The 13419-nt window shown below is 37.5% G+C and overlaps 1 protein-coding gene across 37 annotated transcripts in view; it reads right to left on the reverse strand.

Annotated features, from left to right (window-relative positions):
* The window catches only part of MRE11 (MRE11 double strand break repair nuclease), a 96843-nt gene that overhangs the window by 8755 nt on the left and 74669 nt on the right, over positions 1–13419 (reverse strand). For 33 of the 37 annotated variants that reach the window (XR_007062484.1, XR_007062482.1, XR_007062483.1 and 30 more), the window contains 3 exons: positions 12853–12911; positions 11508–11575; positions 5587–5662 (listed from right to left, as the gene is read on the reverse strand). Coding sequence is in view for 33 of the 37 variants with exons in the window: in XM_011542837.3 (XP_011541139.1) it covers positions 5587–5662; positions 11508–11575; positions 12853–12911 (203 nt within the window). In the remaining 4 variants the exon portion in view is untranslated. Of the gene's footprint in view, positions 1–5586; positions 5663–7734; positions 7786–11507; positions 11576–12852; positions 12912–13419 lie in introns of all 37 variants that reach the window. The other 4 variants (NM_001440460.1, NM_001440466.1, NM_001440461.1 and 1 more) reach the window with 2 other exon arrangements.

Here is a 13419-nt window from a genome sequence, read left to right on the forward strand (position 1 = left end):
CCCTCTGAAAGCACCCAGAAACAAGGCCAGTTGACTATACTCGACTTACACTGCAGTTAAAGGAACAATAGCCCTCTAACATGAGAAAGAATCAGTGCAAGAATTCTGGCAATTCAAAAAGCCAGAATGTCCCCTTACCTCCAAATGAGCCTGCTAGCTCACCAACAATAGTTCTTAACCAGATTGAAGTTACTGAAAGACAGACATACAATTTAGAATCTGGATGGCAGGGAAGCTCATCAAGATTCAGGAGAAAGTTAAAACCCAATCCAATGAATCCAGTAAAACAATTTTACAAAGGTAAAATAGCCATTTTAAGAAAGAACCATACTGAACTTCTGGAATTGAAAATTTCACTACAAGGATTTCATAATACAACTGAAAGTATTAACAACATAACAGACCAAACTGAGGAAAGAATCTCAGAGCTTCAAAACCAGTTCTTCAAATCTACTTGGTCAGAGAAAAATAAAGGAAAAAGAATGAAGAAGAATGGAAAAAAAAAACCTCTGAGAAATATGAGATTATGTAAAGAGGCAAAACCTATGACTCATTGGCATTCCTGAGAGAGAAGAGAGAATAAGCAATATGGAAAACATATTCGAGGATACAGTCCAGAAAAATTTCTCCAATCGTGCTAGAAAGGTTGACATGCAAATTAAGAAATACAGAGAATTCCTATCAGACATTATATAAGATGACCATCCCCAAGGCACAGTCATGAGATTCACCAAGGTCAACATGAAAGAAAAGATCTTAAAGGCAGCTAGACAGAAGGGTCAGGTCACTTACAAAGGGAACCCCATCAGGCTACCAGCGGACATCTCGGCAGAAACCTTACAAGCCAGAAGAGACTGGGGACCTATTTTCTGCATCCTTAAAGAAAAAAGAAATTCTAACCAAGAATTTCATATCCCACCAAACTAAGCTTCATAAGCAAAGGAGAAATAAAATCCTTCTCAGGCAAGCAAATGCTGAGGAATTCATTACAACTAGATCAGCCTTACAAGAGGTCCTTAATAGAGTGCTAAACATGGAAACAAAAAACCACCACCTACTACCACAAAAACACACTTAAGGACATAGCTTAGAGACACTATAAAGCAACTACATAATCAAGTCTACAAAACAACCAGCTAACAATACGATGGCAGGATCGAAATCTCATATATCAATACTAACTCTGAATATAAATTGTCTAAATGTCACTACTTAAAAGGAATACAGTGGCAAGTTGGATAAAAGGACAAGACCTGACTGCTGTCATCAAGAGACCCATTTCACATGTAATGACACACACAGGCTCAAAGTAAAGGGATGGAGAAAGATCTAACATGCAAATGAAAAACAAAAAAGGGCAGGAGTCACAATTCTTTTATCAGATATAGCCGATTTTAAACCAACCAACAGTAAAAAGGGACAAAGAAAGGTATTATATAATGATAAACGGTTTGATTCAACAGGAAGACCTAACTATGCCAAATATATACATGCCCAGATTCATAAATCAAGTTCTGCTTAACCTAAAAAAAGACTCAGACAGCAACAGAGTAATAGTGGGAGGCTTCAACACCCCACTGACAGTGTTAGAAAGAACATCCAGGCAGAAAACTAACAAATTCAGGACTTAAACTTGACACTTGACCAATCAGACCTAATTGAAAGCTACAAAATACTTCATCCAGTAACTGCAGGATACAAATTCTTCCCATCTACACACAGAACATATTCTAAGATAGATCACGTGTTCAGTCAAAGTAAGTCTAAATAAATTCAAAAAAATCAAAATCATACCAAGTATACTCTTGGACTACAGTGCAATAAAAAGAGATATCAATATTAAGAAGATCTCTCAAAACTACACAAATACATGGAACTTAAACAATTTATTCCTGGATAACTCCTGGGTCAATAATGAAATTAAGGCAGAAATAAAAAAATTCTTTGAAATTAATAAAAATTCATTCATTAATTAATGAAATTAATTTCATTAATGAAAATAAAAATAGAATCACAACTTACAAAATCTTAGGGATGCAGCTAAAACTGTTAAAAGGAAAGCTTACAGAACTAAATGTCTTCATTAAGAGAATCAAATTAACAATTTGTTAATTTAAATCAAATTAACAATTTGTTAATTTAAATCAAATTAACAATTTAACATTGTACCTGGAGGAACTAGAAATAAAAGAACAAACCAGCCCCCAAATTAGCAGAAGAAAAGAAATAAATTAGAGAAGAACTGAACAAAACTGAGATGCAAAAATCCATACCAAAGATCAATGAAATCAAGAATTGGTTCTTTAAAATAATAAACAAAATTGATAGGCTGCTAGCTAGATTAACAAAGGAAAAAGAGAAGATCCAACTAAGTACAATCAGAAATGACAAAGATGACATTACAATTGACCCCACAGAAATACAAAAGATCTTTAGAGACTACTATGAATAACTATTCACACACATTAGAAAATCTAGAGGAAATGGATAAATCCCTCTAAACACACAACCTCCCAAGATTGAACCAGGAAGAAAGTGAAAACCTGAACAGACCAATAATAAATTCTGAAATTAATCAGTAATAAAAAACTGACCAACCAAAAAAGCCCTAGACTACATGGATTCACAGCCATATTCTATCAGACATACAAAGAACTGGTACCAATCCTACAGAAATTATTCCAAAAAAATCAAGGGAGGCTCCTCCCTAACTCATTCTACGAAGCCAGCATCAGCCTGATACCAAAATCTGGCAGAGACACAACAAAACAAAGAAAACTTCAGTCCAATATCCCTGATGAACACAGATGTAAAAATCCTCAAGAAACTAGCAAACCAAATCTAGCAGCACATCAAAAAGTTAATATACCATGATCAAGTATGCTTTATTCTTGGGATACAAGGTTGATTCAACATATGCAAATCCATAAATGTGACTCACCACAAAAGCAGAATTAAAAACAAAAACGATATGATCACTTCAACAGACACAGAGAAAGCTTTTGATAAAATCCAACATCCCTTCATGATAAAAACCCTCAACAGACTAGGCACTGAAGGAATATACCTCAAAATAATAAGAGCCAGCTATGAAAATCCACAACCAACATCATGCTGAACAAGCAAAAGCTAGAACCATTCTCCCTGAGAACTGGAAAAAGATAAGAATGCCCACTCTCACCACTCCTATTCAACATAGTACTGGAAGTCCTAGCCAGAGCAATCAGGCAAGAGAAAGAAAGAAAAGACATCCAAACAGGAAAAGAAGTCAAACTCTCTCTTTGCTGACGATATGATTCTGTACCTGGAAAACCCTAAAGACCCTGCCAAAAGGCTCCTAGAACTGATAAACGACTTCAGCAAAGTTTCAGAATAAAAAAAAAAAGTGTACAAAAGTCAGTAGCATTTCTATACACCAATAACGTTCAAGCTGAGAGTCAAATCAAGAACAACACAATCCCATTTACAATAGCTACAAAGAAAATTAAATACATAGCTATATAGCTAACCAAGGAGGTGAAAGATCTCTACAAGGAGAACTATGAAACACTGCTGAAAGAAATCACAGATAACACAAACGCAAAAACATTCCATGCTTAGGAACTGGAAGAATCAGTATCATTAAAATGACCATACTGCCCAGTGCTACCTACAGATTCAACGCTATCCCTATCAAACTACCAACGTCATTTTTCACAGAAATTAGAAGAAAACTATTCTAAAATTCACATGGAACCAAAGAAGAACCCAAATAGACAAAGCAACCCTAAGCAAAAAGAACAAAGCCAGAAGTATAACACTACCCAACTTTGAACTATATTATAAGGCTACAGTAACCAAAACAATATGGTACTGGTACAAGGACAGACACACAGACCAATGGAACAGAACAGAGAACTCAGAAATAAAGCTGCACATCTACAGCCATCTGATCTTTGACAATGCTGACAAAAACAAGCAATGGAGAAAGGACTCCCTATTCAATAAATGGTGCTAGGATAACCGGCTAGCAATGTGCAGAAGAAAATGGATCCCTACCTTTCACCATATACAAAAATTAACTCAAGATGAATTAAAGATTTAATAGTAAGACCTCATACTATAATAATCCTAGAAGAAAACCAAGAAAATACCCTTCTCAACACTGGCCTTGGCAAATAATTTTTGGCTAAGTCCCCAAAAGCAACTGCAAGAAAAATACAAATGGACAAGTAGGACCTCATTAAACTAAAGAGCTTCTGCACAGTAAAACTATCAGGCTGGGCACAGTGGCTCACACCTGTAATCCCAGCACTTTGGGAGGCCGAGGCAGGTGGATCATAAGGTCAGGAGTTTGAGACCAGCCTGGCCAACATGGTGAAACCCTGTCTGTACTAAAGATTCAAAAAATTAGCTAGGCGTGGTGATGCGCACCTGTAATCCCAGCTACTCGGGAGGCTGAGGCAGGAGAATCGCTTGAACCCGGGAGGCGGAGATTGCAGTGAGCTGAGGTCACACCATTGCACTCCAGCCCAGGCAACAAGAGCGAAACTCCATGTCAAAAAAAAAAGAGAAAAGAAACTATCAACAGAGTAAACAAAAAGCCTACAGAATGGGAGAAAATATTCACAAAATACGTATCCAACAAAGGTCTAATATCAAGACTCTAAAAGGAATGTAAATAAATCAGTAAGGAAAAATCAAATAACTGCATCAGAAAATGGGCAAAGGACATGAACAGGCACATTACAAAGAAGAAGACACACAAAGCAGCCAACAAACAAAAAGTGCTTATCATCACTAATCATCGGAGAAATGTAAATCAAAACCACAATGATACCATTTCATACCAGTCAGAATGGCTATTACTAAAAAGTCAAAAGACAACAGATGCTAGTGAGGTTGTCAGAAAAGGGAATGCTTATACATTGTTGGAATGTAAATTCATTCAGCCATTATAAGCCATTTGGAAATTTCTCAAAGAACTTAAAACAGAGCTACGATTTGACCCAGCAATCCCATTACTGGCTATATAACCAAAGGAAAAGAAATCATTCTACCAAAAAGACACATACACTCATGTTTACTGCAGCACTTACTCACAGTAGCAAAGACATGGAATCAACTTAAGTGCCCATCAATACGGATTGGATAAAGAAAATGGTGGTACATATGTAACATGGAACACTATGCAGCCATAAAAAGAACAAAATTATGTCCTTTGCAGCTGGAGGCCACTATCCTAAGCAAATTAACAGGAACAGAAAACCAAATACCACATGTCCTCACTTACAAGTGGGAGCTAAACACTGAGTTCACATGGACATGAAGATGGGAACAACAGACACTGTGGACTACTAGAGAGTGGAGGCTGAGAGTAGGATGTGTGTTGGAAAACTGCCTACTGCTCACTACCTGGGTGATGGGATCTGTACCAAACCTCAGCATCACGCAATTCCCATGTAACAAACCTGCACATGTACTCCCTGAACATAAAAGATGAAGTTATTTATCAAAGAAAAAAAAGTTCAGCAACTAGCTGGCAGTCTCTATTTAAATTTTATAAAGTTAAAAATTAATTAAAATTTAACAATATTACTTATTTACCTCACTTGATTCAAAATCAACCCCTTTCGATACTTGACTCTGGGACATGATTTTGCTGGATGATGTGCTGGACCACCTGAGGCAAAACAAAAACAAAAACAAACACAATGAACTACATAATTCATCAAGTGTGCCTTTCTGGCTAAGTTTTTCAATCCAGCAGCTGCCACGAATATAAATAACACACAATTCCCTTAAAATCTACATTAGCGGCAATAAAACTTAACTGTAAGGAAAAGGACTCTGGGGCCGAGGTTTGAACTCTGGTTTTGCCCTTTACTACCTATGTGGCTTTGAGCAAGTTACTTAACCTCTCTGTGCTTCAATTTCCTCATCTGTAAAACGGGGATAATGGTTTTATAAAGACTAAATGTGTTAATATGCTTAAACACTTAGAACAGTGCCTGACACATATTAAGTACTACAACAATACTTACTTATATTATTATAGTACTTATCATGTACCAAAATGTATACATTACCATCTTCCACTTCTGAAAACCATGGGAACATTGAAATATTTTCTATTCAAATCTCAGTTAATAAGAAAATCATAATTCCTACTCTTTTTACTCTTTTTTTTTTTTTTGAGATGGAGTCTCGCTCTGTCACCAGGCTGGAATGCAGTAGCACCATCTCGGCTCACTGCAACCTCCACCTCCCAGTTCAAGCGATTCTCCTGCATCAGCCCCCTCAGCATGCCACCATGCCCAGCTAATTTTTGTATTTTTAGTAGAGACGGGGTTTCACCAGGTTGGCCAGGATGGTCTCTATCTCCTCTATCTCTTGACCTCGTGATCCGCCCACCTCGGCCTCCCAAATGCTAGGATTACAGGCGTGAGCCACCACGCCCAGCCGATTCCTACTCTTACAAAGCTTAACTTGCAGTAAATTCCTATGTCTTTTAATTAATAAGAAATTTAAGTCACTTTAGATCGGGGCCAGTAAGCAAATCTAGCCCACCACCAGGTTTTGTTTTTTTTATGGCCTATAAGCTAAGAATGGTTTTCACATTTTGAAATGGTTACATTTTAAATGGTTATACAAGTGTCTACCTACATAATATCCCCGGTTTTGCCTCTTGACCTGCCGAGCCTAAAATACTCCTTATCTGGCCTGTTAAGAAAAAGTCTGCTGATTCCCGTCTTCAATAAAAGTAGTGTTTATAAATTCTTAGTCTACAATTTTATTAACATGCTTTGGGATGTCATTATAGCAAAAGAAATATGTCCAAAGGTTTTATCTGGAAAAAAGAATGAGAATCACGAGATCTTATGTCAGAAGTAAATAGAAAAATTCACAGGTCCTTTGCACTAAAGGAAAGGACAGAAGGATTTATCAGGCAAACTTGAAGAGCAACTAAGGTTCAGAGGTAGCAGATTAGCACAATTATCAAGGTCCACTCTGGTAAGTGGCAGAGCTTAAATAGTTTAAATTATAAATAAAACACCATGCATAACCTGCAATTACTAAAACATTCTGCAAAAACAGTCTAAATTATCATTTAGATGCTGTAATTAGAAACACCAATCTGCCAAAGCTGATTTCTGATGTGTTTCCAAAATGTCAATTTTGGAAATTGCCTCTAAAATGTTAAACAGCCTCTCAAAACTTAAATGATTCTTATTGCTTGCACAATGGTCAGAGAAGTTAGTTACCATACCAAGAAGCAACAACAGAGATGAGTTTGGGGTCAGAATGCCTGGACTGTATGACTAGTTGGGTGACCTTAGGTAAGTTACTTAGCCACTGTGCTTCACACTTCATCTGTAAAATGGGGATGATAAAGTTATAACTATAATCTATCTCCTGGGGAAGTTGTGAGCACCACGCAAGCTAATTCACATGTAAAATGCTCAGAGAAGTGCCTGGCACATAGGAAGTACCAAACAACTGTGAGTTATATTACTATTTCATGTCTAAAGAAATCGGCAGACATTTATACAGCTGAAAAGTAAACAATCTACTGTGATATCAAAAGCAAACTATTTTTTCTTTAATATCCTTAAGCATATATCAAAAATATCAGAATAGCATTTTGATCCATTTCTGGAAAAAAAAAAACTTAGAAAGCTAGATCTGATTTGTGTGTGCTTCAATTTACAAAGACAAGAACAACCAAACAAGGACTCAGAAAGGGGCCCTTACTTCCTTCCAAAACCTGAGGTATCCCGATAATCTTCCAATAAATCTCCTTTTCTGTAAGAGAATCTGAGTTAGGTTTCTATCAGCTGGAACCAAAGGAGTCCTGTTAAATACACATAAATGAGCCTGAGAAATTCAAGTAAACCTTCGTGAGCTAAAATAAGTCCCTCCACTACTTACCATAGACATATAAACTGATTTGCATCTGCGCCCATCTTGGTATTTTTTACTCCTATAAAGGCCAGTACGGCCTTCTGCAACTCTATACTCTCCCGGATTTTTCTCATGTCTTTATTGTTTTTTTCTACTCTACCCAAAGGCTGAGTAAGGTTAAAACTGCAGGCTAGGAAAACAAACACTCTTCTGCTCTGCCTTCTTTTTTGAGGTGATCCTATCCATCCCAATGGTTTTAAGTACCATCTGCACGCTGTCCAGAGGTAAATGTAAGTACCATTTCAAACCCCTTATCTGGGACGAGCACGGTGGCTCATGCCTGTAATCCCAGCACTTGGGAGGCCGAGGCGGGCGGATCACGAGGTCAGGAGATCCAGACCATCCTGGCTAACACGGTGAAACCCCATCTCTACTAAAAATACAAAAAATTAGCCGGGCATGGTGGCAGGGCCTGTAGTCCCAGCTATTCGGGAGGCTGAGGCAGGAGAATGGCGTGAACCCAGGAGGCGGAGCTTGCAGTGAGCCGAGATCGCGCCACTGCACTCCAGCCTGGGAGACAGAGCGAGACTCCGTCTCAAAAAACAAAACAAAACAAAACGAAACAAAACAAAACAAAAACCCTTATCTGAGTTCTGAATTCACACATTCAATTGCCTATAACTTCCCTTCATGTAAGTTTCTAGGCATCTCAAACTTTTCACATCTAAAGTGGAACTTTTAATTATATGCCTATCATTCCCTACAACACATCTGTCCTTTCTTTTGTCCCCTTCTCAATATATGGCACAATGTAAATGCTCCAGCAAGAAACCAGAAAATCAGTCTTGATTCCTTATTCTCCCTTACTCCAAATGTTTAATCCATCTTCAAGTTTTGTCATGTCTATCTTCAAAATATATCCTGAAACCATCTGTTTCCTCCATTTCACCTACCACCAGCCTGTGCAAGCCTCCATCGTCTCTCTTAGCTCAGACTACCTGCAGCACCCTCCTTTCAGATAAGCTTGTTTACACTTGTTCTGCAACCACAGTGATCCTTTGTAAATGTAAATCACAAGGTGCCACTCCTCTCTTAAAATCTTTCTGTGGATTCCCACTGCATTTATAACAACATCCAATACCTTTGTAGTGCTCACCTGTTCCTGCAGCATGATTTACCCTGTGTCTCTTTTCTATTCTCATCTCAAACAACCTCCTTTTCCACCACACATTAGTCATTGGCTCCTAAATAACATTATTAAACTTGCTTCTTCAATAGACTGTGATATGGTTTGGCTGTGTCCCTACCAAATCTCATCTTGAATTGTAGCTCTCGTAACTCCTAAGTATTCTGGGAGGGACCTGGTGGGAGATAATTGAATCACGGGGGCAGTTCCCCCATACTAATCTCGTGGTAGTGAATAGGTCTCACAAGATCTTTCACTTGGCTCTTTTTCTCTTCTTTTGTCTGCTGCCATGTGAGACATGCCTTTCACCTTCTGCCATGATTATGAGGCCTCCCCAGCTATGTAGAAATTTGAGTCCATTAAACCTCTTTGTTTTGTAATTGCCCAGTCTCGGGTATGTGTTTATCAGCAGTGAGAAAATGGACTAATACAGGCTGCATGCACTTGTCCCTCTGCTTTTTGCAAGGCCACATTTCCCTTATTAAAATTTCCGCTTAAATGTAGCTTCCTCAGAGGCTTTCCATGACCATCCTTCAAAGTAGATGCCCGTCCTGTGCCACTGTTTCTTCTCTCTACACCAGATCATTTCCTTTAATGCATGCTAACTGATCGGCTGATCACCAGCTCAAATGTCACCTATCTTCTTTGTAAAACCTTCAATGACCTTTCCCAGGAAGATACTGGCACGTCCCTTAGGTTTCATTACACCTGAAGAAAACATTTATCTTGGTGGATTAGCAGTGCCCTGTAATTAGCATACCACTAAAGTGTAAATTCCTTGAAGGAAGAAACATTTATCTTTCTATCCCCAGAACCTAGCATGATGTTTGAAGGATCTAATAAGTGAACGTGGAACTATACTTACACTTGCTCTAACATTAACCTTTAAGTCACATACAGCTTATATTCTCAGTGGGGTCAGTATCATAAAGAACAAAAATTGGCTCCAGGGGATAGAGTGGGATGAAAAAGCTACGGTTTTTGGCCCTCTCAGACTCAACCATACCCAAAAAAATTTCATTCTTTAAGTATTTAATTTCTAACGTTAGGGAGAAATTGACTTACATCTAAGTTACTTAATTCTTCTCCTTGGATAATCAAGAAATGGCTGAGATAATGGAAAAAAAGCTTGAGAAACACTGATATAAGGCTTTTTCCTCAATCACCCTTCTTTCTGGAGTTCCTGCTCATGCCCTTATTCTCAGCTGGGACCACCGTTTTCCACCCTACTAAGCCAAATCTTATCTTTGAAACCTCAGGTCAATTTTATTCCCTCCATGAAGCTGCTTCTTCTAGCCCACATTCCTTGTTCCTTTTTTCACCAGCCCATAAGCACTCACACTTATGGGTCTGTAATATAAAATTCTACACCTAATTATGTACTAATTCATTCTTTGATGAATTCAAATATGTTCATTTCTCTTTTCCACTATAATTGAAGTTACCTGAAGGCAGAGGCCATATTAAAACATTCGTTATGCCCCTCCCTCATCAGACCTAATATAATGCTCAAACAGAAAATAAGTACAAAATAAGGCAGTTGATTACTTTATTAAGTAGAAATTCTCATTATTCGAGCTTTAGTTAAGCAGTATTCAACCAAAATGTTAACGTATAAAAGCAAATGGTAATAGTGAATCAAGTCAAGCTTAACAGCAATAGGCAAAAAATCCCAAAACACACAGGAAGAGCATGCAAGTCCTCTGAAGGCAGACTGAGTCTACGTGATCCCCTTTTAAGTGTTTAGTACAGTACCATGTGTAGTTAAGAATATAAAAATAAGACAATGACAAAAAGCTGAAATCAAATGATAGCAAAATACAAAATTATTTTCTGTTATTTGGAGAGAACACAGTCTTCCATTAAGAAAAGCACTGAGGCCAAGCGCACTGGCTCACATCTGTAATCCAGGCACTTTGGGAGGTCGAGGTGGGTGGATCGCCTGAGCTCAGGAGTTCAAGACCAGCTTGGGCAACATGGCAAAACCCTGTGTCTACCAAAAATACAAAAAATTAGCCACGTGTGGTGGTGCACGTCTGTAATCCCAACTATTCAGGAGGCTGAGGTGGGAGAATTGCTTGAGCCCAGAAAGTGGAGGTTGCAGTGAGCCAAGATCGCACTACTGCACTCCAGTCTAGGCGACAGAATGAGGCACTGTCTCAAAAAATAAATAAATAAATAAAAAGAAAGAAAAGCACTAATAAAGTCAAAAGGAAAAAAATTACAGGCTATTTCAATTTTCACTGAAAATCCTTGTACTAATGCTGCATCAACTCTATAAACTAGCCCTTGGTCTGTTTTCATTCCTCTACATACTTTACTAGTTGAAAATAAGTCTGTTAAACTTACATGGCATAGAAAAATGTGTAACTTTGGAATTCTGGATAATTTTTAATTTTTTTCAGATGTTTCTTTTGCAGAAAATCACTGCACCTACCTTTGATCTGTCTTTGAAGTGGTAGGAAAAATGTCTTCTTCCACATCTGATTCATCTACCTCAATCACCTGGCAAGGAAACAAAGCAACAAACAGTTTTTGTGAGAATAGACTCTGAATAAAAATGAAAATGAAGAAATGAATTACACGATTAAATCTTAAGTTATATATGAGCCACAAAAAAGGAGACAGAAAGCCATAACCATTAAAACTAACACTCAGTCTGACCTCCCTCCAATGTCCCTCTTCATTCACAAATGTTACTTTTTGCTCACCTCTCTCCTGGCCATCCCAGGAGCCTGAGCACCTAAGGGAACACAGTTACACTGGTGAATGACTTGCATAGGCTCATATGCAGACCTTATGACTTTCCTCTTAGTTTCTTATGAGAGGTGAGACCATCAGTGTTCCATCTCCAACTTTAAATGAGGTATCAGACCATGTGGGAAATACTAGATATCTTTCTGTTAAATCTGTCCCTCTTAAATACCATTTGTTAGTGTTAAGACCCAATAAAGATATTTCTGACTGTTGATTCTACCACCCAAAATACTATTTCTCTACATTTTGTTATCTTGACATTTGATACATACATTTGCCATATCTTCATCTAACTTAAGTACAGATGAGGATGAAGCCAAAGACCAAATACTGAACGAACAGCCCCTGAGGCTAAGGATGCTGTTAAATATCCTACAATGCATAGGACAACCCTTCACAACAAAGAATTATCTAGTCCAAAATGTCAACAGTGCTACTATGGAGAAACCCTGATGTAAAGGGAAGAGTATTGGCTCGGGAGTTAAGACACACAGTTTTGAAAGTGAAGTAATAAGAGAATCAAGCCCATATTGGACTCTTCTTGGAATCGAAAGGAAGAGCAGAAGGCCCAGGCTAAACCTAGGGCAAACCACATGGATCGCTGGACTCCAGCCTTTTCATTCATCTTAAGTCTAGCAACAGCTGTTAAGGCACAGCTAGTATTTTGGGAAGATAAGTAACAAAAGGAAATCCAGCATAGAAAAAACCTCTATAACCATTGAACTCACCTTCAATATTAGTATTCCATGTATGAGCTCTTTTGGTTCAACACTGTTATCCTTGAAAACATTACTGTATACATAACATTTATGGATTTCTATAATAACCATTATTTAAAAAAAGAGAGCAACCAAGAAAAAAAAAATCAAATCCTAGAAGCCCTAGAGATAATTGGTAAAGCTCCTTCCAGCTTTAATGTTCCATAATTTTTCTTCTTTTATTTACTTTGTAAATCAGAGAGTTGACAATTCATAATGCAGAAAACATAAATTATTAATACACAACCATAAAACTTTTTTTCTTACCTCTGAATAATTCTTAGTAGTGACATTTCGGGAAGGCTGCTGTCTTGTAGATTTAAAGGCTAGAATGAAAAAGATGAAATGTGCATTATGTTATTCTTAAAATAACTTAGAAAAACTTGCATACTTCTTTAGCTAAAGATTTTCTGAGTCCTATCTGCAAAACTGAATGATGCCTAATTATAAAACTATTTGATATTTTTAAAAATCTAAAGGGAGATAGAATTATAGGTACGCATAACTCAATGCCCAACTGTCAGTCTCATTATTTCCCAGCTTATTGAGATACTGTAGTGTTTATAAATACACACACTAAAAATATTTCATAGAAAAACACCTGAAGGATAAAATCTAATCACCTAACCAAATGAACTACAAATGTATTGAAGGAAAGCCTCCTAATCCCTTCTTTGTTGTTGACGATACCTTTATCCCTGTTGCTACATTAGGAGCCATGGGGTTCCAGTAGTTTCTCATTTTCCTCTACCTTAGTAGCCATATTCAATATCTAAGAAATATTCCAGAGGAGAATTCTAGAAAACAGCATTCTATGATAAAAATTCCTTTGTA

This window comes from Homo sapiens, chromosome 11, assembly GCF_000001405.40.
Source record: "Homo sapiens chromosome 11, GRCh38.p14 Primary Assembly".
NCBI lineage: Eukaryota > Metazoa > Chordata > Mammalia > Primates > Hominidae > Homo > Homo sapiens.